Source organism: Homo sapiens, chromosome 3 (assembly GCF_000001405.40).
Source record: "Homo sapiens chromosome 3, GRCh38.p14 Primary Assembly".
Classification (NCBI taxonomy): domain Eukaryota; kingdom Metazoa; phylum Chordata; class Mammalia; order Primates; family Hominidae; genus Homo; species Homo sapiens.
In genome coordinates, this window is record NC_000003.12 from 160,493,495 (window position 1) to 160,519,128 (window position 25,634).

Consider the following 25,634-nt stretch of genomic DNA (forward strand, 5'->3'; position numbering starts at 1 on the left):
ATTAAGTAACATGTAGGCTGGTGATTTTTCAAGGGCTTTATGGAGTGATGGGGGCAAATCAAAGACCGGGATGGGTTGAGAAGTGAATGGAATTTGAGCAACTGGAGAGAACAAGCAAATTTACATGAACTTTGGCTGTGATAGTAAGGGGAGGATGTAGTAGCTGGGTGCTGAGCTTTAAGATAACAAAAGTTTCAGCATATTTGAATGTTAGTGGGTACAATCACATTGAAGGGGCATAGTTGAATATAAAGGAGAGAAAAATCTAATTCACAGTGAGAGATTCCTAAGTAGCAGGAGATAGGATTCAAGACACTAAGACTGCCTTGGTTATCAGGAAAGCTCCTCTAATGGAACAGTAAGGAGTGGGGTGATATCTAAATGGGTTTCTAAGCTGGAAGTGAACTAACAGAGTTCCTTTCATAAAGTTTCTCTTTGCCACTGCCCCCCACTGAAATAGGAAAGGGCATCTACTAAGAGGGGGAAGCAAGGAGTTATAGGCTTGAAAAAATTGACTTCTAAATAGTTGAAGAAAGTTTGAATTTGGAGGTAATGAATTTACAGATACCAAGTCTAAATTTTGTGTGTATGCCATCAAATGCTCTGATGCAGTACCAAAGCAGTGGAGTTTGCTTAATGCATCATGTACATCTATCATTGCTTTTATCATGCTTTCATTTACCATTTATTTATCACTTCTTTTTATTTGCCTATTTATGACTGTGTCTCTCCCAGCAAACTAAATTGAGAGCGCTTGCTACATTTAATTGGTTTGCTATCCCTAGCTCCTGGTTTACTGCCTAACCCAATGTAGGTTCTCAGATATTTGACAAAGGTAGAAATGAATAAAGCTTCTGCCTTTACTTGCAACAAACTTTAAAGGGAATTTCCCCTAGATGCTATAAATGAGTGTTTATTATCTACCTATAATTATTTTGCATGCTTTACATGAATTAACTCACTTAAGCCATATGAGTAGGTACTATTACTATTTTCCATTTTTTCAGATGAAGAAACTGAAGCACATAGGGATAAAATAACTTCACATACATAAATAAACCAAAGCATTCTAATAATTTCATACTATAGCTGACTGACCAAAACAGCAATCACTTAACTTTGTGGTTTGGATATTTCCTTGTAAAATATCTTATTATAAGTTATTTCAATAAATCATCCATACAGTATTTCCAAAATATAAACTGTATCAATAGTGTTAGACAATATTAGGTTACCTCTGCTTCATAATATATATAACTGGTATCTGAAAACCACACAAGGATCCATTTCAATACCCTTATGGATGTCAGATATCCAGACCAGACACTGGGCAAAATATCAAAAGTGAGGAAAAGGAAATAAGGAAATGGGCATTCATCTGGCAAGCTATGAAGTATCTTCCCTTTCTATCGAAGGCTTTCTAAAACTCAGATGCAATGAGACAAATTTAAAAACTGTAGATTGAAGGCTTTTAGAGGTAGTCACTACAATCAGTTCATCTGAGAAATTGCATCATTATCACAAGCATTTATTGAGTACCCATAGAACTCATGGTACCTTCACGGTGTTTACAGAACTTTGCTTATATGCCGACCTTGCCCTTAAGGAGCTTACAATCTAGTGGAAAGAAAGACGGAGAAACTCAGATGTGATAGAGCAATGAGTGAACAGATACTATAGACTGAAAAATAACCATAAATGTAAAACACATACTGAAAAATGAGGGTTAATGGGGATGGCAAGGATGATAGGTAGGCCTGGATATACTCCTGACTTCTTGAAGGAGTAAATATCTAGAATATTCAAGGACGTAAAGTGCGGTTGAGAAAGCCAGGATGCAAACAAACATTTCCTATCTGCTGTGTATTTTCTTGCTCCCTGCAGCTGAGAATTGCAAAAAGAAAACAGGGATAGAGATAATGGGTAAAAACTTTTTAGTATTCTTTTAGTACTTCTGTTTCTGAATTAGACCGAACAGTCACCATGTAGGTAACTTAGCTATCCTAGATCATCCTAAACTGGTTAAAAGGAAGATTTTAAAAACTAGCTTGTCTATATGAGTTCTATAAACATATGTAATTTTACCTTAACTAAAAGGTTAGGATGACTAGGACTGCCACTATGCTAAAGACCACTCAACTGAATATAATACTGACATGGCAGAAGTGCGAGTTTTATCAGTGATACACATTGTGTACTGCATTGGGGGCTTACTAGATGTGTGGCGGAATATACCCATTTATGAAGGCAGCACATCGGCAAGTAAAAATGTAAGTGAAGGTAGGAAATACCTAGAATACATGATGTTTTATGCAGCTGAACAGGACAACCCTGAAAAGACAAGAATTATGGTAATACCAAAGTGACTAAGGTTGTCTTGATTCCCCGCCCCCACCACAATTATGAATCAAAAGATGGAGTCTTTTTTTTTTTTTTTTTAAGGTAAATACCCTCTTTAGCTGAGTCCAAGACTTTGGATATTAGATTACTGTACCTAAAAAGAGTAAAATGGTGGCCAGGCGGTGGCTCACGCCTGCAATCCCAGCACTTTGGGAGGCCAAGGAGGGTGGATCATCTGAGGTCAGGAGTTCGAGACCAGCCTGGCCAACGTGGTGAAACCCCATCTCTACTAAAAATACAAAAATTAGCCGGGCGTGGTGGTGCACGCTTGTGGTCCCAGCTACTCAGGAGGCTGAGGCAGGAGAATCGCTTGAACCTAGGAGGTGGAGGTTGCAGTGAGCCAAGATGGCACCACTGCATTCCTGCCTGGGCAACAAGAAAGAGTAAAATGGTAACTATGCACAAAGGATGGGGGAAAGGTGGCTCACAGGGCTTAAACATCAGAGGAATGGAGAGGACAGGACAGTGAGGGAATTATCTGGAAGGTAGGTAACTGGATTGAGAACCACAAAAAGCATGTAGATTTAAGCAGATTACGAGTCATTTTAAACAGCTGTTTCAAAGTAAGAGTAAAAACAGGCTGGAGAAAATCTTGGGTAATATTAGAGTAACATAGTCTAGGATAGGAATCCATCAGTTATGGAGATCAGAGGTAAGATATAGTCAGGGAAATTAGGATTCATGCTTGAAGAGTAATAGAAAAACCTAAGTGAAACAGGTTATTGGAATTTTCTTTATGAAGAATAAAAGTGGAAGAACTGATAGTCTGGAAAGGTGAAGTAATCTGGAGTAGGCAGCTACAAAAGGTATAAAATTTGTGGAGAAGGCAAAAATTGGGGCAGAAAATATAAATAACAAGGGAGTACTGCAGTCCTCTGGTGGGAGGTAGATCATAAAGAATCTGTAGAACCATTTACTTTTCCTCACAGTCAACTGCTCTTACACCCAGAGCAGTAGCTGTCAAGTCAATTTTATTGAAAATACACTGGACTTGGACATCCTGAGTCAAACTGCCATCACCTAAAGGGCCTGGATTTAAAAGGAATTTTCAAGATTATTGTTAACTTCTGGGTTAAGTGTTTAGGGAAAAAAATGTTAAATCTACTTTTCTTATACATGATTGGTGTGCTTAGTTTTTTATCAATTTGACACTACAGTCCAAATTTGCTTCTGATCACACTAGAATAGTTTTACCAATGTTCATTATTTTTCAACTTCCTTTATTAAGAATTAAGGCTGGTTGGGCGCAGTGGCTCACGCCTGTAATCCCAGCACTTTGGGAAGCCGAGGTGGGCAGATCATTTGCGGTCAGGATTCCAATACCAGCCTGGCCAATACGGTGAAACCCCATTTCTACTAAAAATACAAAAATTAGCCAGGCGTGGTAGCGTACTCCTGTAATCCCAGCTACTCAGGAGGCTGAGGCAGAATTGCTTGAACCCTTGAGGCAGAGGTTGCAGTGAGCCGAGATTGCGCCACTACACTCCAGCCTGGGCCACAGAGCGAGACTGTGTCTCAAAAAAATAAAAATAGAAGACTGCACTAATGCCACCAACGTGCATATTGATTTGAAGGCATCTTGCAGCAACTTTTAAAAATTATTGTACATATATATTTAAAAGCATACTTTATTAATGTGCTTATTAAAAAGTTTAGGGAAAACTTTAAGTGTTCAAAATGTCAAGTTTGTTAGGCATCAGTTTGTTAGTGTTTGGGAGTATTGCCTCAGATATCTGGGCAAAATTTTTTCCTCCCATAATATTAAATTATTGGCTGACAGTTAATGAATTTTGCCAATAAGTAAAATAATCAAGAAGTTACAAAAAGGATAAGATACTCAGCTATCTTGGCCTTCAAAACGCCAATGGTGGATTCTAACTGAAATTTTATATATAAATGGTAGATAATCCACCAAACCCGAGGAGTTAACAATTAAAGTTGGCCTATTTATAGTTCACTTTAATAGCTACAATGGAAGATTCAATTTTGGAAACTCAAAAAGGTCAACTAATTTCAAAACTCTTAGGCAAGCTTCTATAACAATGTTACCCATTCCTTAGTAAACAAAAAAAATATCCAAAAAGCTACATTCACATTTTTTTGCATTGGTTCACAAATTTAAATGAATTTAGATTACCTTTAGAATAGTAATTAGAAGCCCTGGGCAGTATGGGAGTTGAGATGTGGGCTTTATTTGGCCCTTAGTAGCTGTGTGACCTTGGGCAAGTCACCTCAACAACTCATCATCTAAAGGGAAGGGTTGGGACAGACTGTAATTCATGGACTCTTATGAATCCCCTAAAACTGTATGAAAAACTACCATGTATATACACTTTTTGGGGAAGCTGGTCCAGTTTTCATTAGGTTCTCAGAGGCAACCTTGATCCCCAAATAAGCTTGCTATGATAACTATATAAGGCTATCACTTGTAAATTGTTCCAGTTCTAAATAGTTGAGTCCTTGTCATAGGAAGAACTCTTAAGATGGCTCCCAAGATTCCCTGGTATACATACTCCATATAACCCCCTCCCTTGACTGTGAACAGGATCTTTGAATATGATGCGTATCACCCCTGTGATTGGACTACAATGCAGGGCAAAGGTGAAGGGATTTTGCAGGGGTAATGAAGGTACCTCATCAGTTTGGCTTTGGGTTAATCAAAAGGGAGATCACCCTGGTGGGTAGGTGGCCTGATCTAATCAGGTGAGACCTTTAAAAAAGCGCTTAAGGCCTTCCCTGAGATCAGAGATTCTCTTGCTGGCCTTGAAGAAGTTCCCATGATTTCTTCAGTTGCTAGGCAATGGATTTTGCCATATGTGCATAAAAGAGGACCCCCTAGCTTCAGATAAGACTGCAGCTCTGGCTGACACCTTTATTGCAGCCTTGTGAGACCCTGAGCAGAAAACCTAACTACACTCTTGACCTACAGAAATTGTGAAATAATGTATGTTGTGTTTTAAGACACTAAATTTATGGTAATTATACCAAAATTACACAGCAGTTATTCTCTAAATTCAAAATTTAGCTTAATCTCTGTAACTTTTTCCTTGAGGAAACTGAGGCAATGGAGAATCCAAAAAGGGTGCCCCCATAAATTACTGTTACAATAAACCCAGTCATTTTACAATGCAGTTATACCTTTAAAGAAACAAACAACTCCTCACCCTATGAAGTGCTGCTGAGGTAAGCCTAAACTAAATGATACACTCCCTCTCCCCAAAATTATTCTAGATCCATTTTTAATGATTCATAGATAGCTCTAATTATAGAAATGCTCCAGGTTTGGTCCAGAGCAATGTGGACCAATGGAAAGTATTATTTCCACCATAACACACAATTACTGAAGTCTTTGAAAATTACAAAGGAAATATATTTAAAGATAGATTTTAGACTAGGGCGTCTCACACACCCCTAATATAACATTCTTATTTTTACAGCACTTGAGGTGGTCTCAATGTTCAAAAAGACAGTTTAAGACATGAAACGTTAAGAACGTTTAGCTTATTAGGCATATTATTCTATGCCCCCATCCCCATCAGAAATAAGCCTGTGTTAAAAATGAAACAATTTCCTAGATCACTGGAGAATTAAAAAAAAAAAAAAAGTGTTTAACCAGGTAACCGTGATGAACTGTCAACTGTACTGAATCAATTTCAGAGACAGAAAAGCCCTTCCCAGAATTTCTACTAGAAAATCAATGTTCTATATTAGGCTATAGATGGAAATAAAATATTTAAACGATAAGGTAGTCCTTATACCCAGAGATATTAATATCACCCTTACCTATTTTCCATATCACTGTTCTATACAATAATTTGTATATAAAATTTGTATACAAGCTCATTGGCTTACTTTGAATCCAATATTTTTTACTAAAAAACACAAATTATGTAAAGCATTGCTGTGTTCACCTTCCAATTACTGAAACCTTCTGTACTATGCTTTGTATACAATCCATCATTTGGAGCTATATGTTGAAGATATAGCAATACTCAAAATATAGTTCAAGTTGTCTCGGTCTGTTTTACTGGAGAATGAAGGAAAGTTAAAACCTTGCTTTGGATAGAGAGAAAACTGAAGCACTGATGGTGTCAACTGGACAAACTCAGTGGGCTAAAATATTAATATGTCCATACTGAAATGACAGAACCAAAGAAATTTCTTATTATGCTGGTTCTAGGTAAAAAGACAGGAAGCTAATGTAAGCCATTGAATTATACTCTAACTTTATAAAAAAAAAAAAATCCACACACCACACACACACACCCCATGTAAAACATTGCTTTAAGTTTTAATGTTTATTTCCCCAAGACAGCCTAGCCTGCACTCTACTTGGATAAATTTTACAAGCTAGTTTTCTGCTGCTTCTAGTTTTAAACTTTAACCATGTTTCTGATGACAAGGAATGCTGCAAAAATACTCTAGTTCAACAAAGAGTTATGATCACAAAATAATTTTTATCCATTCTACAGTGTTTCAGAATTACCAGTTGATTTTTAAACACAAAGTAGATATAGATGCTAATGGTGGCTAATCTGGTATGTTTCTTATAGCAAACTGTTGTTCATGCAACACTTGTGCTCAAAGGGGAAGGCACAGGATTTCCTACAATGAGCCACCTTATAAAGAGTTCTTTTTGTACAAATTAATTTATGTCACATTTAATTTAGTGTGCATAACCTCAAAACTGAGGTATTATTCCAATTTATAAAAACCACTTGCATAACTTTTATGCAAGTTTTAAAAATACAAAGTTTTCTCCCTAAAGTGGCTCAAAATAGATTGTTCATGGCTGCCTACATCTAAGATAAAAAGATTCTAAAACAATTGAACAGATTAGGCATATTATTAAAGGTGTTCAAACCATTACTTGATTTGTACATCTACTCAAACCTCTTCATCGGTCTTTATTCAGCAGTACATATGCACCAAATTCCATTTTAGAAGTTTCCATATCATTTTCATAGAAAACAAAGTTTGAAAACAAGTAACATTTAAACACAGCACGGTATTCTACCACAACTGAAACTTTTTTCTTCTTCTTCTTTACAGGACTCAACAAAATCTAAAAATGAACTATGCTGTAGATTTACCTCATGCAAAGATCTTTATGTTATCTCTGAAAATGAAAAGGATGGCCTTTTAAGCACATTTTACTGTTTTATACTATTATGGCAACTTGTGTACTGCAACACAGTCTATTTTGAGGGAAATTTATGATTTTTTTCATGCAAAAATCTACACAAATTAGTTTTGATGATATGGAAAGCTTTTCATAGCATCAAACATTCATCTGGTGCAAATGCACAGGGAAACCTTCCTGAAAAGTTTTCTGACTTGAGAAGCAACTAAAAAAAGGCATACTAGGTAAAGTAAATAAAAACTAAAAAAAAAGAAAAGAAAAGCAAAAAAGAAAAAAAAAAGGATTGGGTGGGGGGAAGGAGGTGGGAAAGGGGGAAACAGAAAACACAGGCTGCAGAGTAAACCAATGTCTGCTGCTAAACCAGTCTTTGTTTTCATGTCCAGTGTACATTAACACTTATGATCTCATTTTGATGATTTACTAGGTTATCAGCCCCCTGAAGGTGAATCAAGCTTGCATGCGTTCACATACAGCACCACAACCACGCTCTCGTACACAGTCACTCCAGGACTAGGAGTCTGCTTCATGAGTGAAGAGCCCTAGATTTCAAAGATGAACCTGGCTCTCCATCACTGAGCCAGACATTCATTCAACATTGTCCATTCACACACTGCTTCATAGCAAGGCCTGGGCTCATTTTCCTTTGACTTATATGGGCAGCCTATTCTCTTTTATGCTTACAAGGCTTGAAGATGACGGTACTGCACTTTCCCCTCAATTGATATAGAGTAAGTCAATGTTCTTTCTCAGGCACTGACGATCTGTGACCTGTAGCCCTTTTTACTTTGAACAACCTAAATAAGCATTCATGTAAAGTTTTCATTACATTTTGCCACTCATTCTCACTCGCACCCACTCGCCATCTTGACCTCATTTGGGCATTTTCTGTGATTCCAAATGAAATCTTCACATTTTCTTTCCCGATTTAATGCAGCAGCAGATCCCATGAGCCAAGCTTGATGGATCAAACCTTTTTATATATATGTATATATATATATATATACACACACACATATATATATATATATCTCAGTGCTGCATTGTACCTAACTTCCACAACATCTTTCTAAAACTGGAACCCTTCTGTTGGTACATTGGCAGATGAATTGAAACCAAATGTTCCGCCTTGAATTGCCTCTGGAACAAGGCTAGGGTCTTCATCAATCTAGGTGAAAAAAAAGAAAAAGAATGTGATAATTAGTTTTAAAATATATATAAACAGTATTATAGTACTAATCCCATTACCCTTAAAAAAAGGTCTGGAGAGATGATGAATGCCAACACTGTCTTACCATCCTTTAGAAAATTGAAACAGTTTATAGAAGGTTTTTTTTTTCTTTCTTTCTTTTTTGAGATGGGGTCTCACTCTGTCACCCAGGCTGGAGATGAGTAGCACAAACATAGCTCATTGCAGCCTCAACCTCTTGGGCTCAAGTGATCCTCCCACCTCAGCCTCCCGAGTAGCTGGGACTACAGGTGTGCACCACCACGCCTGGCTAATTTTTGTATTTTTTGTAGAGACGGAGTTTCACCATACTGCCCAGGCTGGTCTCAAACTCCTAAGCTCAAGCAATCTGCCTGTCTTGACCTCCCAAAGTATTGAGATTACAGGTGTGAGCCACAGTGCCTACCCAAGACTTTTTCTTAAGGGATGCCAAAATGAGAAAAAAGAGAATATGTAAGACGGGCATTTTCCAAAAGAATGAAGGAACAGTAATGATGGCCCTAAGTCTCAAAGAGAGGATGCAAAATTTGGTCTCATTACAATTTCCCTTAAACCTGGGCAAGTACAGCTAGGCGCGGTGGCTCATGCCTGTAATCCCAGCACTTTGGGAGGCTGAGACGGGTGGATCACCTGAGGTCAGGAGTTCAAGACCAGCCTGGCCAACGTGGCGAAACCCCATCTCTACTAAAAATACAAAAATTAGCTGGGCATGGTGGCATGCGCCTATAATCCCAGCTACTTGGGAGGTTGAGGGTGGAGAATTCCTTGAACCTGGGAGGCAGAGGTTGCAGTGAGCCAAGATTGTGCCACTGTACTCCAGCCTGGGTGACAGAGCAAAACTCTGTCTCAAACAAAACAAAACAAAACAAAACAAATCACAAAACAAAAAAACCCCGGGCAAGTACATAAAGACAATCACATTAAAAAAAAATCTAATGCCACCACTTTTGGAAAGTGAATCTTTGGTATATCTTTCAATAGCAATTAGAGACAAATGGTATTTGGGCTTAAAATAGTAAAATACAGATTGAGTATCCCTAATCTGAAAGTACAAAACAAAAAATATTCCAAAATCTGAAACTTTCTGGGCACCAATATGATGCTCAAAGGAAATGCTCATTGGAACATTTTGAATTTCAGATGCTCAAGTGGTAGAAATAATTCAAATATTCTAAAATTCAAAAAAATCCAAAATCCAAAACTGTTCTGGTCCCATGCATTTCAGGTAAGGGATACTCCACCTATAATAGTTCTGCTAATAATGGTTATTATTATTATTATATACATTATTCTATATGCTTTGCATCTAAAGGCTCCTTTTGGAAATTCCACAATATTACAAACCTGTAGTGTACTTCCTATAACTATGTATATCATCTGAATTATTCTTTTCACAATCTAAGTCAAGAACGAAAACTACATGTTGAGGTATTAGAAATTATGAGGCTATTACAATTAGTCACCAAATTGCAAATTATGATTTTCAAAAATCCAACTTCAAGACATACGATCAAAGTTACTCTTAAAAGAATATGCCAGGCTGGGCGTGGTGGCTCATGCCTGTAATCCCAGCACTTTGGGAGGCCAAGATGGGAGAATTGTTTGAGTCCAGGAGTTCAAGCTCAGCCAGGGCAACATAGGGAGACCTTGTCTCTACAAAAGACTTAAAAAGTTATCCGGGCATAGTGGCAAGCACTTGTAATCCCAGCTATTTGGGAGGCTGAGGTGGGAGGATCACCTGAGCCAGGGAGGGGGAGGTTGCAGTGAGCTGTGACTGCGCCAATGCACTCCAGCCTGGGCCCCGTCTTTAAAAAAAGAAAGAAAGAAAAAAAACTTTTCTTAATTTTATTTCTGGTTTATTTAACTGGCATTATATTCTAAATAGGACTAAGCTTAAACAACTGTAAGTAAATAGTCTATAATTTTCTTTTCTAATATTGTCCTTGTCAAGTTAATGTTCAAACTATACATACTTAACAAAATGTTTAATAACATTCTATTCTTTTTGATAATATGGAAAGGCATGCAGTAAAAGACTTATTCTTTGAAAAGCTGAGAAATCATTAAAGAAATCCTCTGGTGGCTGCACTGAACCACTATAAAATTTTCTAAGGAGCAATTGGTTTAATTTTAGATTTACTTTTCCAAAGAGGAAATACTAAAAATAAGTTAATACTTTAATTTCCACTACTATTACTAACAATCTGAAGATATTTTTGTATACTATACCTTACATTATATAGTGCCTTACCTTTTTATTTCCATCTTATTTATTTTCGTATTTGTTTTTGGCCATGAAATAAAAACAGTGACAACCCATCAAGTGTGGATTAACTACTGTCATAAAGAACTTATTACAGGATATACTAGTATCACTGTTTTGTTTATAAATATGGTATGCTATTAACAATTTTAAAAAATGAGAACTATAAAGACACCAAGTGAAAATAAAGTCTGACTCATCTCGTTTGGTCAAAAAAGTCCTTATTTCTTGCCATTAGAGCTAATATGCCCTGAAGGGATCTTAAAATATTGAAATATTTGTTTTCAAAGCAGGTGACATTACTGTCATACATCTATTTTAATTCCATTCCAAACAAATACACATGTATGTCCCCCAGCTTACTATATATATTACTTTATCCAGATCTATGTTTATATATAAAATTAAGAAAACTACAAAATTATTAAATACATCATCTGAAGAGAAGAACTGATCAATGATCTCATAGGCCAATTTGTAGATGTCTTCATTTTCATGATTTTGAAGTTGTTCAATTTTCTCCAGCCCTGCAAGAAATTTTGCAATGTGAAACAATAGTAATATTTAAAGAGCAGTGACAAGTTAGAATAATCTTTGGAACACATAATCCAATTTCTGAATCGCAAATTTTTTGAATTATAATTTTTGGGAATTTAAAGGTGAATCTTAAATATAAAAAAATTTTATGCACAAAGATACAGCATATTTATCTTAAAATCAACAACCTGAGTGTCTAACTGCTTGTAAATGTACAAATAAGTGTATAAATAAGTAATGAGACATCTGCCTATTCATCAGAATACATAACCAATGTTTATAACCAGCAATAACATGTAAAATTCCATTTAAGTAAAAAGCGGAATCTTCCTACTTTCCAGCACCTGCCAAGTTTTTCTAGTGAGCACGTATGAAAATAAATTTAAAATACTGGTGATTAATAAATATGATGCTTAAGATACCTGTTAAGTTTACTGGAAAATGATGAAGATCTAACACAGTATTTCAGGGGAAAAGAGAATTTTCCCTGTAAACATTAATGAGTTTAAATTATAGGCAGAAACATTAAAAAGTATATACTTAACTTGTTGATACACAAATTGGATCCTGTTTTACTTTAGAGGAAAAATAATTTTAAAGTCTTTGAAAAAAGTGAAATTGCCCCTTCATGAGTGTACTTCCTCTATCCATTTCTTAAATGGAGAAAGTTATCTTAGGCTCACTTCTCACCTACACACTCATTCTGGTGATCTTCCCATTAAAAAATCTGGCTACTACACATAGGCTGAGGACTTGCAAATCTATAGCTTCATTTCTTTTCTGAGCTTCACATGCATAAAACTAAAATGCTTGTGTAATTCTACCAGGAAATTTCATAGCTACCTAAAACTCAAACTGTCCAAAACACAATTTGTTATTTGCCTTCCTCATTTAAACGGTTCATCCTACAGTTGTATTCTTATTTGGTGATAATCAACAATAGCTTGAAATTTAAGAGAAAGCCCAAGTTCCCCTTTCCCTCAATATCCCACAATCAAACCTCAAAAACTTGAAAGTCCATCCACTGGACTTTAAATCTCCTCATCTCCCCTTTGTCTCTATTATTACTGCCTTCATTTATTGTGGCTTGGCCACTATATACTTTATTTTATTTTATTTTTTTTGAGACAGAGTCTCACTCTGTTGCCCAGGCTGGAGTGCAGTGGCGTGATCTTGGCTCACTGCAGCCTCTGCCTCCTGGGTTCAAATGATTCTCGTGCCTCAGCCTCCCAAGCAGCTAGGATTACAGGTGTGCGCTACCACACCCAGCTAATGTTTCATATTTTTAGTAGAGACGGGGTTTCATCATGCTGACCAGGCTGGTCTTGAACTTCTGGCCTCAGGTGATCTGCCCGCCTCGGGCCTCCCAAAGTGCTGGGATTACAGGTGTGAGCCACTGTGCCCGGCCATAAATACTTTCTTAACTGGTCTCTTCCTGCCTCCTTTCTCCAAAGGCTTCATTCCCCAGATATCCATGTTCCACCTGAATGCACCCCATCCCCTAGATGAATCACCAATGGCCTGCCACTCCTATGGCACAATCCACTGGGGATTCCTGGGTCTTACCTCCAGTGAGGTAGGCAATGTTCAAGAACTTACATTTTTACTTGAATGTATAAAGATATTTTAGTAATTAAAATGTTTACAAGTTAAAAAAATCAAGTAGTAAAAATAATTAAGTATGCCTATTGTTATTTTTTGTTACTTAATCCCTAATTAGTTCTGTAACACTATTCCCCATCTCTTGTTCCTAACTCGACAGTTATAGATTTTTTTATTGTTGTTGCTCTATGAGTCACTTTAGTAACTTTAAATATATCTATTTCTTACTACATTAATTTTGAAGCCGCTCACCATTCCCATTTAGTTGAAGTTATGGGTTCTCCTACTTTTGCAGTTACCTCTCTTTTCATTCACTTTTCAACTTCTGTCAGAAATACCTTTATATTTATGCTTATCCAGATTGATAACACACTGTGTTACACAGCCACATTTGAAATTTTCATGTTCTGTCTATATATTAACTCTAAGACTTGAAAGCTAATATGTATTGTTTACATTCCAGGAGGCTCTGGTACATGGCCATGTTTCGAAACTATTGCCCTAAAGAATAAAACATCTACTGTGCCATAAAGCTTGTTAAGATTCACAGGAGGTCGGGCGCAGTTGCTCACACCTGTAATCTCAACACTCTGGGAGGCCAAGGGGAGTGGATCACCTGAGGTCAGGAGTTCAACAGCAGCCTGACCAACATGATGAAACCCCGTCTCTACTAAATATACAAAAAATTAGCTGGGCGTGGTGGCAGGCGCCTGTAATCCCAGCTACTCAGGAGGCTGAGGCAGAAGAATCGCTTGAACCTGGGAGACAGAGGTTGCAGTGAGCCGAGATTGTGCCATTGCACTCCAGCCTGGGCAACAGAGCAAGACACTGTCTCAAAAAAAAAAAAAAAAAAAAAAAGCCTTCATAGGAGGCTGGTTACTTCTCCAGCTTTGTCTCTTCATAGTTTCTACCCCATACTGTGTGATTCAGCAACACTGAACTACTTATAATTTGCTGAATGCTATTTCTGACCTCAGACTTTGCTCATGGTGTTATCTCTGCCTGGAACACCTTTCATCCCTTTTTACCTTATTAATCCTTATTCATCTCTCAAAATCCAGCTCAGGTGCACTTCCTGCTTCTTCCAGAATGGATTAGGCATCCCATTTTGTTGTACATTTCTATTAGGGTAATTAGCACATTAAATCAGTTCATATTTATCAAGACTAGACTACATGCCTTGAGGGCAAGGACTGTGTCTTGTTTACCACTGTCTTCCCAGTAACTTATCACAGTGCCTGTTCAATATATGGCAGCAATTCAGTTACCTAAGCATATGCAAGAGGCTGAGCAGGACTGCACATATAGAATACAATATTTACTTTATTCTGTTACTTGAATATCTAAGACAGAAAAATATAGATGTGCTATATTAGTCGGCAAATAAAGGTAGTTACAAAGAGAACATTAAGATGTGGAATAAGAGCTTATAATAAACTTACCTCCACATTCTTCTATAAGATTGCCTATGGTTTCTGCCTCATCTTCAGCCATTTTTAATATATTACTTAGTCCATCGAGTACTACTTGCACAACTTGTGCATCTTTTACAGTCAGCAAGTTGCAAAAAGGTGGGATAACATTTTGTTGGATAAGGTAAGCCACCTGAAGAATAAAAACAACATAAAATAATGCAATATAGGTAAACTTTGTGTGCCATGTTATCTCACTGGAATAATTCTGATTTTGAAATTTCGAGTATAGAAATATGACCTCATCTCTCTCATGTTAAGTGTGCCCACATTATTAATCTAACCTCCTTTTCTTTTAAATTTAGTTTCCTTTTTCCCGAACTTAGAAAAAAACAACGTAAAGTTAAAATAAAGGAATCACTCAACTTCATATTAAACATTTCTTTGCCATAAGAAATACTTCCTTCAAAGATTTTTCCCTTTAAGAGTAAGAAATTATGAAATCAGTTAAGGAGGCTGTTAATGGAGGCTGTATGCTATTTTTAATTTAATTAATTAATTAATTAAATATAGAGAGATGGGGTCTCACTATGTTGCGCAGGATTTATTTATTTATTTAATATATAGAGACGGGGGTCTCACTATGTTGCCCAGGCTGGTCTTGAACTCCTGAACCCAAGAGATCCTCCTGCCTTGGCCCCACAAAATGCTAGGATTACATGCATGAGCCACTGCATCCCGCCTGGATACTAGTTTCAAAAAACTACAATGGCTCAATGTGACAGCATCCAGTGGCTCACATGTGCCTGGCTACCTCTCAATTCACTATTCTATTGATTTCACAATATTTTCCAATGATTTCAGTATTTCATTAGTTATAATTTCCATGCATTATATTAATATTCCTGTTCTGCTCTGTATTTATGTGAATTCACTGAAAACCACCAGTCTGCAGCCTTTTTGTTACAGTTATCAATTTATTGCTATTCAGCTCTAAATTTGTTCTTTTTACCTACTCTGTGAAACAGATCTAACCTCTTTAAAACTGTTTTTCCTTTGCCAGTTGGCACAATGTTAAGCTTTGTCACCCGCACGACCTGAGAGTGGGTGCCTCTTTCCTAGGCATCTTACATTCCTCACCCTAGTTCCTAAGTCCTAGCCATCTGGTTGAGCTTTTAATTCCTTGTTTGGTTTGCTGCTGATGAATTTGTTATTGTTGCTGTCTTTTTACTTTTTGTTGTTGTTGTTCATTTGTTAGGAGAATGTGTGATGCAGTTTCTTCCATATTAACTTAAGAAGTCTGTTCATTCCTAATACTGTTAAAAAAACAAAACAAAACAAAAAACTCCTGACTATAGGGGCCTCAATTTTACCATGGATTAAAAAATTCTTGTAGGCCAATAAATTGGGAAAAAGAACACTTCTATGAAGTATGACGAAAGGAAGTCAAGGTGATACTTCTATGTGACAAAGAAAGTTATATACCTGTTATATAAAAGTTAGTACCTGTTATCTTGCTCTTATTTTATTTTTTTAATAGAGATGTGGTCTCACTGTGTTGCCCAGGCCAGTCACAAAACCCTGGCCTCGGGTGATCCTCCAGCCTTGGCCTCCCAGGGTGTTGCTATTATTTTAAATTATAACTTACTCAAATCTAAATCAATATTACCTGTACTTTTATTTTACCAGTTTTGAGAAATAAATTTTAAAAAGCTCAACTTACTTGATCTTTCCTTCCACTAATTGTTAAGTTACTTATGGCCCAAGCAGCTTCTTTTTGAGTGCCAAAATCCCCCTGTAAAAAGGCAAAACAAAGGCTATAAAAATTGCCACATAGAGTAAACTGGAAAAAATGTTTGCTGTGATGATTTTTCAACTGCTTATTTCCCAAGGTCTCCTTTTAGTCTTTCTGTATATATCATTTTTTCTTATTAAGACAGGTCTTTGAACTATTCCCAATCTACCCTAAATACATGGAGACACCTTTCTGTGAAATCTCCTGGAAACAAACTGAGTTGATATTATTATCTAATATTATCAGATTAAATGAAGTTGATGATAAAATGAAATAAAAATAGTAAAGAAAAAATTTAAAAATCTACAATTTCACTACAAAGTCACGTAAACGAACATATTCTTTTACACACAAAGCTTTTACACACAAAAATGATACCCACCATTAATGAAACTATGATAAAGATGTTATACATTGCCTTTTCAAATATGAAGCGAAGAAATATTTAAAAGTCATTAAAAAATTCATATACATAAACTTCATAATCTCATTTTTGAGAATTTACCAAGAAAATAACATAAAGCAGAGTAATAATATCTTTCTATATATGGTTATCACAGCACCATAATAGCCAAAAAGTAAAAACAACTAAAATTCTCAATAAGCATAATTGTCTAATTATGGTAAATCTACTGAATAAGCAACTATTAAATATTAAGACAAGTGGCAACCTGAAAAAATGCTTATGATGTATTAAAAAACCACATAAATAAAAGAAATGCAAATTAAAATATCCATATCTCCTTTCATATTTATCAGAATAAGAAAATCTAAATATTTGTGTGTGAGGCTGGTAGTATAAAATGGCATAATTCTTATAGGGGAATTAGCCCTATAATAGCAAAATTTACATATATGTTTATCTGTAGATCTAGTAATCCCAAATATAATCGGGCAAAAACATCAAAAAAAAACTTACAAGCTATTCTTTTTTTTTTGAGAGGACCTCGCTGTTGCCTAGGCTGGAGTGCAGTGGCGCAATCTCGGCTCACTGCAACCTCCACCTCCTGGGTTCAAGTTATTCTCCCACCTCAGCCTCCTGAGTAGCTGGGACTACAGGAATGCACCACCACGCCTGGCTAGTTTTTGTATTTTTTTTGGTAGAGACACGGTTTCCCCATGTTGGCCAGGCTGGTCTTGAACTCCTGACCTCAAGTGATCTGCCCGCCTCAGCCTCCCAAGTGCTGGGATTACACGTGTGAGCCACTGTGCCCAGCCACAAGCTATTCTTTTATTTATTTATTTATTTTTTGAGATGGAGTCTCGCTCTGTCACCCAGGCTGGAGTGCAGTGGCGCAATCTTGGCTCACTGCAAGCTCTGCCTCCTGGGTTCACACCATTCTCCTACCTCAGCCTCTCGAGTAGCTGGGACTACAGGCGCCCACCACCATGCCTGGCTAATTTTTTGTATTTTTAGTAGAGATGGGGTTTTGCTGTGTTAGCCAGGATGGTCTCGATCTCCTGACTTCATGATCTGCCCGCCTCAGCCTCCCAAAGTGCTGGGATTACAGGCGTGAGCCACTGCACCCGGCCACTATTCTTTAAAGTACTATTTAACAACAAACACTGGAGACATCTCAAATATCATCATTAATAGATTGACTTCATACATTATAGTGCATCCGTACAATGCAGTACTATGTAGCTATGAAAGGAATAAGAAAAACAAGGAATAAGAAAAAAAAACAAGGAATAAAGAAGCTCTCTATATAGTGCTATGGGACTGACATTTTTTTAAGTACATTACTGATGAAATATATTCTAAGGGCAAACAAATGTCAAAGAAATCTTAAAAGTACATTCAGTAGTCATGTTGTCAGGGGCAATACGGCTTTGTTATTTTTATATATATATATATAAATATATTTGCATCTCTTTTGTCTCATGCTGAAAATTAGGAGTTTTTTATGGTCTTTAGGATATATATCATCAATGATGTACTTAAAAATAATGTATATTGACATGTATCCACAGATCTATACATACCAAAATGTAAGAAAAATAAGTAATTATGCTAATGTTTTTAGGAAGATTTTCAGCATAAAAGAGATGTAAATATAAAATCATAGGAATAAAAATTAAAAACCCTGTTATCTTAAATATCCAATAATATTTAATAGCTCCCTTTCATTCATGATTCATTTTTTATGAACTCTCATGTTCCTGAACTCATCATCTTTCACTTTCTACAATGCCTATCATTTATTTTGTTGATTCAGGCCTAGAAAAAATGACAACATTATAACAATGATCACCTTTATAGCTGAAATATGATCCTTAAACACCATTCTCTACAAAACAAAATCAAGATACCATAGAAAAATAGTTAATTCCAGTTCTAGATCAGAAAACATGTAAGATAGGCCTGGGAATCATGTCATATCCAAAAGGTGTAGCTCTCAAAAACTAGTGATAACATAAAAGATACAGGTCACCAATTCTAAGAGGTTCCTGTTGGTCAGGAACAAACAGAGTATCAAAAAGAGTAACAACTAAAAGGTATTAAAACTTGCAAAATATATTTTAAAAATTCATAATTTCCAAATGACACTAAAAAAAAATCTACTCTGGTCTGCTTTCAAGGTTATTAGGGAACGAGTCATTCTAAAAAATGACTGATAAGGACAAAGAATCAAACATTTATCTTGCCTATCCTAAATGAACTGTATTTCAAAGTATTAATAAACAATAGCTGATAAAGAAATGCTCTTGGCCGGGCATGGATGGCTCACACCTGATCACTTGAGGTGGGGAGTTGGAGACCAGCCTGGCCAACATGGTGAAACCGCATCTCTACTAAAAATACAAAAATTAGCTGGGTGTAGTGGCGTGCGCCTATAGTCCCAGCTACTTGGGAGGCTGAGGCGCAAGAATCGCCTAAACCCGGGAGGTAGAGATTGCAGTGAGCTGATATCGTGTCACTGCACTCTAGCCTGGGTGACAGCGAGACCGTCTAAAAAAAAACAACAAAACAAAAAACAAGACAAGTTCTTTACTAAAGAATCATGGCCAATACACAAAGAATGACGGAATTAGAAAGTCACCATTTTGCAACTCCTAGTAAAACAAGGGATCCTAACAAGGATCATCAATGGCTACCTAAAAACCATAGGTGAAAGATTAATGGATAACTTTATAACCATCAGCTGGAATAGGCTGTAACACCTCAGATCACTCAACAATCTTAATATCACTACATGTAAGACAGACTGTGTCTCCTCATGTGAATCATTAGGAAATAGAGTTGTGCATGACATATTCTTGCCTAAAAAACTGAACTCGATTTACAGGAAACACAGAGAAACAGATTTATCTTCTCTTTAATTACAGATCAGTGTTCAGAACCCTCATGCTGTGATTGTTTCTTCTACTTTGTGGTTTTTTTTTTTTTTTTTTTTTTTTGAGACAGGGTCTTGCTCTGTCACTCAGGCTGGAATGCAATGGCATGACCATGGCTCACCACAGCCTCAACCTCCCGGATTCAAATGATCCTCCCACCGTAGCTTCCCAAGTAGCTAGAACCACAGGCGCATGCTACCACACCAAACTAATTTCTTTTTTAAAAAAAGTTTTTGTAGAGATGGAGTCCCCCTATGTTGCCCAGGCTGGTCTTGAACTCCTGGGCTCAAGTGATCCTCCTGCTTTGGCCTCCCAGACTGCTGGGATTATAGGTGTGAGCCACTGCACCCAGCCTCATGCTGTAATTGCGATAAACTGTTTCTCCCAAATGCTAATATGAGCATGAGAGATGATATGGCATACAATAGCATACTTATTTGCTATTTGATTTTGGACAATTTATTTGTCTATACCAGGGTTTCTTCATCTATCAAGTGGGAATAATCCCTAATCTTATAGGCTTAATGTCATTCAATGAGGTAATGTATGTAAAGTGCTTAGAATACTATGTAAGCATTTATTATCAACAGTAACGATATGAAAGTTTAGTATGGCCTAGGATAATGGCAATTTTGGTAAAAGAATGATACACAGAAAGGGCTAGGATTTGCCCCCCACCCCCCAAAAAGTTTCTTGTATATAAAAATGGCTAGGTTCAAAAGTCGTAATGTTAATATTACTTTACTATATTTATGCCACTGTATGGCTTCTAATTAAGCAGAAAGTATAAATTCACATAATGTCTCAGATTTAAATCCCCTTCCCCTTACATCAGATAAATGATACATATAACATGATTTTCTTACCTTATCCAAAAGGTGTATTATCATTGGTACAAGATTGGCATCAATTACTGCCTGTACCTGCTGCTGATTTCCTGCAGTGATGTTGGAGAGGAACCACACTGCTTCCTGTAGAACAAGAGCATTTGAATATTTCTCATTAAAAAATAAAATCTGCATCTGAACTAAGTAAAAAAGCATTCACTACACTGTCCCAATGATTTTACTACGAAATGAGCTCCATAATAAAAATCTCAGGAATCTCAATTCCTTTACACCCCTTTCCATATTTTCTTTGGACAAACAGCTAATGGACCTAATTCAAATCACAATGAACTAACCCTTCGGAAGAATTATTGAAAACAATGCTCCCAAACAGTGTGGCTCAAAAGAAGCTTGGCTGAACAAATTTGAATGAGCAAATATGAAATAATGAATGAGCAAATATGAATAATGAGTATAATACAAATACAAATCCTAAAACAGCTGTAAATAAGATTCAGTGCCCTTCCCTCACATAATGTGCTTTATTCTCTATTCTATTCTGATGAAGAATCTTAGCCAAAGTAGATAAATATCAATTATCCACAACAATGGAGACATAAAAAACAAAGTGCATTGTTTTAGTATACTTATTTGTAATAGTCATTCACTGCATAATTTCTCTCAAGGAAAAGTGGAACCAGATATTTGATTGTTTTATTGGCCTATCTTAATCTTTTTATGTTACCCTTTACATCACAGTTGGTGCTACTTTTGACAAAATAATGGTGGCCTTACGCGTTATAATCATAGATAACTAATAAGTTTTACTCTAAAAAATATTAGTATTAGCTAATGTATACTAGGCTCTTTTGGATCAGATCACAGGACCATTTTAATGAACCTGTTAGAGATTTTAGGGTGCCAGGCTAGTTAGGTGAGCTGTTCTTGGGTTATAATCATTGGCAATGTTGTAATCAACAACCCATGTTATTTCTACAACAGCCTCAGATGCACTCCAATATCAGCATCACCAGTCAGTGCCCCCTTTCCATAGCCACCACAAGCACACACACATGCATACACACTCTCTATTAAGTACCTATAAAACACTAAACTTATAAGAATTACATAATATACATATTAAAAATTTCCAGTCATACAACATTCAACACCCAATTATCTCTATTTCATCATTTCCAAGAGAGCCAAAATTGCACTTTTCATAACTGGTTTTATGTATGAAAAAATTATTAATGCTTGTTATGGAGAGTAAAATTTTTATTTTCTCTTGATGTCTAAATGACAGTTTGTATTAAGAATCAATATTACAGACATTTCTAAGACTCTAATTTTACAAATAGAAACTGTTAACATTTTAAGTGCTATCTATTAAGTAGTATTTAATAGTACTTACTTTATTAATTTTCTCTTTGGGATGTGTCAGGAGTGCTGGGAAGTGTGAAAGAGCATCACAGTTCAAAACTACTTGTGTTTGCTCATCAGTTCCAGTAACAATGTTGCCCACAGCTCTAAGTGCAGCAGTCTGAAATGCACAATGAGATGACATTCTATGTGAAATCCTTTTTTTTTTTTTTGAGACAAGGTCTTGCTCTGTCGCCCAGGGTAGAGTGCAGTGGTGCGATCTCAGCTCACTGTAACCTCTGCCTCTCAGGCTCAAGTGATCCTCCCACCCCAGCCTCCAGAGTATCTGGGACTATAGCAGTGCACGACCCTGTCCGGCTAATTTTTGTATTTTTTGTAGAGACAGAGTTTCACCATGTTGCCCAGGCTGGTCTCGAACTCCTAGGCTCAAGGGATCTGCCTGCCTCAGCCTCCAAAAGTGCTGGGATTATAGGCATGAGCCATTGTGCCCAGCTGAAACACTCCTTATTAAAAGGCATGTTAGGTACCTTATAAAAGACAAATGCATTCATTCACTATTTCTTCCAACAAACCTATTCTTTTTTGAGACGGAGTCTCACTCTGTCGCCCAGGCTGAAGTGCAGTGGCTCGATCCTGGCTCACTGCAACCTCTACCTCCCAGGTTCAAGCGATTCTCCTGGCTCAGCCTCCTGAGCAGCTGGGATTACAGGCGCGTGCCACCATACCTGGCTAATTCTGTAATTTTTTTTTTAGGAGAGATGGGGTTTTGCCACGTTGGCCAGGCTGGTCTCGAACCCCTGACTTTAGGTGATCTGCCTGCCTTGGCTTCCCAAAGTACTGGGATTACAGGCATGAGCCACTGCACCCTGCTCCAAGAAACCTATTCTTTTTGAGCACTTAGCATCAGGCACTGATGTAGGAACAGAGATGTGAAGATAGACACATGTTCCAGCTCTTACAGAGCTTATATTATTGTAAGAGAGGAGTCAATAAACAAGAAGGATAATTTTAGATAGTGCCATAAAAAAAAAAAAGACAGAACTTTAGATTTAGTGTTGAAAATATAAAAATAAAAACAGCTAGGTGCAGTGGCTCACGCCTGTAATTCCAGCACTTTGGAAGGCTGAGGTGGGTGGAACACTTAAGCCCTGGAGTTTGACACCAGGCTGGGCAACATGACAAAACCCTGTCTCTACAAAATATTAGCTGGGTGTGGTGGCACGAGCCTGTAGTCCCAGCTACTTGGGAGACTGAGGTGGGAGGATTGCTTGAGCCTGGGAGGTCCAGGCTGAAGTGAGCTGTGATCATACCACTGCACTCCAGCCTGGACAACAGAGTAAGACCCTGTCAAAAACAAAAAGACAAAAAACATAGTGCCTTTCTGAAGGAAAGAAGATACCTGCCTAACATGAGATTTCACTATGGTATGAATTTGAATTATCAATTATTTTTCTGTGGTTGCATGAGGTCATTTCCTGTTAAGTAAAGCTTTTTACTCCTCTAATTTTCCTTTCTACATGACAAATGATCCAAATTTTTTAAAAAATTGAAATAAAATTCATATAACATAAAATTTACCCTTTCAAAGTGTACAATTCAGTAGTTCTTAGTATATTCAGAGTTGTGTAACTATTACTAGTATCTAATTCCAGAACACTTTGATCACCCCAAAAAGAACACCTGTATCCATTAGTGATCACTCCCACACTGCCTTCATCCCTAGGTCCCTGGAAGACACTATGCCTGTCTCTAAGATTTTGGCTATCTTGGGCACTTCATATTAACAAAATCAAAATGTATTTGGCCTTTTTTGTCTAGCTTCTTTCATTTCACATAATGTTGTTAAAAGTTCGTGTTACAGCATGCATCAATACTTTGTTCCTTTTCATGACCAAATAATATTTCACTGTGTGAATGTATCATATTTTATTTAACCATTCATTGGCTGACATTCAAATTGTTTTCATTTTTTGGCTATTACAAATAACGCTGCTGTGAATGCTTGTGTATAAATTTTTGTGTGGATATGCATTTTCATTTCTCTTGGGTATGTACCTAAGAGTAATTAATTGCCAGTTCATATTGTAACCTTATGTTTAACTTTTTGAGGCACTGCCAAAACTATATTCCAAAGCGGCTGTACCATTTTATATTCTCACCAGCAGTATATACGAATTCCAGTTTCTCACACCCTCACCAAAAGTATGTTATCGTCTTCCTAACTATAGCCATCCTGGTGGGTGTGAAGTAGTATCTCACTGTGGCTTTAATTCCCTTTCCTTAATGACTAATGATGTTGAGCTTCTTTTCATGTGCTTACTGACCATTTGTTATATCTTCTTTAGAAGCCTGCTTACTCAAATATTTTGCCAAGTTAAAAACTGAGTTGTCTATTTTTGAGTAGTAACAGTTCTTTATACATTAAATATTTTAGATGTAAATCCCTTTGCCAATACATAATTTTCTAATACCTATTCTCTTCTATTCTATGGGTTGTCTTTTCACTTTCTTGATGGTGTTCTTTGAAGCACACACAAGTTTGTAAGTTTTGTGAAGCCTGACTTATCAATTCTTTTTCTTTGGTTGCTTGTGGTGTCACATCTTAGAAACCACTGTCTAATCTAGGGTCATAAAAATTTATGCCTGTATTTTTCTTCTAAGAGGTTTAAATTTATAGATTTTATATTTAGGTGTTTGATCTATTCTGAGTTTTTTTTTTTTTTTTGAGACGGAGTCTCGCTCTGTCACCCAGGCTGGAGTGCAGTGGCGCGATCTCGGCTCACTGCAAGCTCCGCCTCCCGGGTTCACGCCATTCTCCTGCCTCAGCCTCCCGAGTAGCTGAGTAGCTGGGACTACAGGCGCCCGCTACCACGCCCGGCTAATTTTTTGTATTTTTAGTAGAGACGGGGTTTCACCGTGTTAGCCAGGATGGTCTCGATCTCCTGACCTCGTGATCCGCCCGCCTCGGCCTCCCAAAGTGCTGGGATTACAGGCGTGAGCCACCGCGCCCGGCCTATTCTGAGTTTTTGCATGTAGTATGAAGTGGGGTCCAACTTCATTATTTTACTTGTGGATATCCAGTCGTTCTTGCCCATCTGTTGAAAAGGTTATTCTTTCCCCAATGAATTGGCTTGGCTTCCTTATTGAAAATCAACTTGGCCGGGCGCGGTGGCTCACGCCTGCAATCCCAGCACTTTGGGAGGCCGAGGCGGGTGGATCACCTGAGGTCAGGAGTTCGAGACCAGCCTGGCCAACACGGTGAAACCCTATCTCTACTAAAAATACAAAAAATCAGCTGGGCATGGTAGCAGGCACCTGTAATCTCAGCTGCTTGGGAGGCTGAGGCAGGAGAACTGCTTGAACCTGGGAGGCAGAGGTTGTAATGAGCCGAGATCATGCCATTGCACTCCAGCCTGGGCAACAGAGCAAGACTCTCACACACACACACAAAAAAAGTAAATCAACTAATCATAAAATGCATAGGTTTATTTCTGAACTCGATTCTATCTCATTGATCTGCATGTCTATATTTATGCCAGTATCACAAAATTTTATTTACTGTAGCTTTGCAGTGTTTTGAAAATGAGAAGTCCTCAAACTTTGTTCTTCTTCAAGATCATTTGGCTATTTCTAGGCCCCTTATATTTCCATATGGATTTTAAGATCTGTTTGTAAAATTCTGCCAAAAACCAAAAGCACATGGGATTT

At 37.2% G+C, this 25,634-nt stretch overlaps 1 protein-coding gene and 1 non-coding gene across 2 annotated transcripts in view; both read right to left on the bottom strand.

Moving 5' to 3' along the window:
- Positions 1-1,512: 1,512 nt before the first annotated feature.
- Positions 1,513-25,634, bottom strand: part of KPNA4 (karyopherin subunit alpha 4) — a 70,565-nt gene continuing 46,443 nt past the window's right edge. The window contains exons 12-17 of the mRNA NM_002268.5: positions 21,958-22,086; positions 20,583-20,687; positions 16,306-16,377; positions 14,613-14,775; positions 11,464-11,558; positions 1,513-8,708 (exon numbers count right to left, since the gene is read on the bottom strand). Of these exons, the coding sequence (NP_002259.1) occupies positions 8,610-8,708; positions 11,464-11,558; positions 14,613-14,775; positions 16,306-16,377; positions 20,583-20,687; positions 21,958-22,086 (663 nt within the window). The 3' untranslated portion in view covers positions 1,513-8,609. The remainder of the gene's footprint in view (positions 8,709-11,463; positions 11,559-14,612; positions 14,776-16,305; positions 16,378-20,582; positions 20,688-21,957; positions 22,087-25,634) is intronic.
- Positions 21,413-21,742, bottom strand: SCARNA7 (small Cajal body-specific RNA 7). Its single transcript, NR_003001.1, has one exon.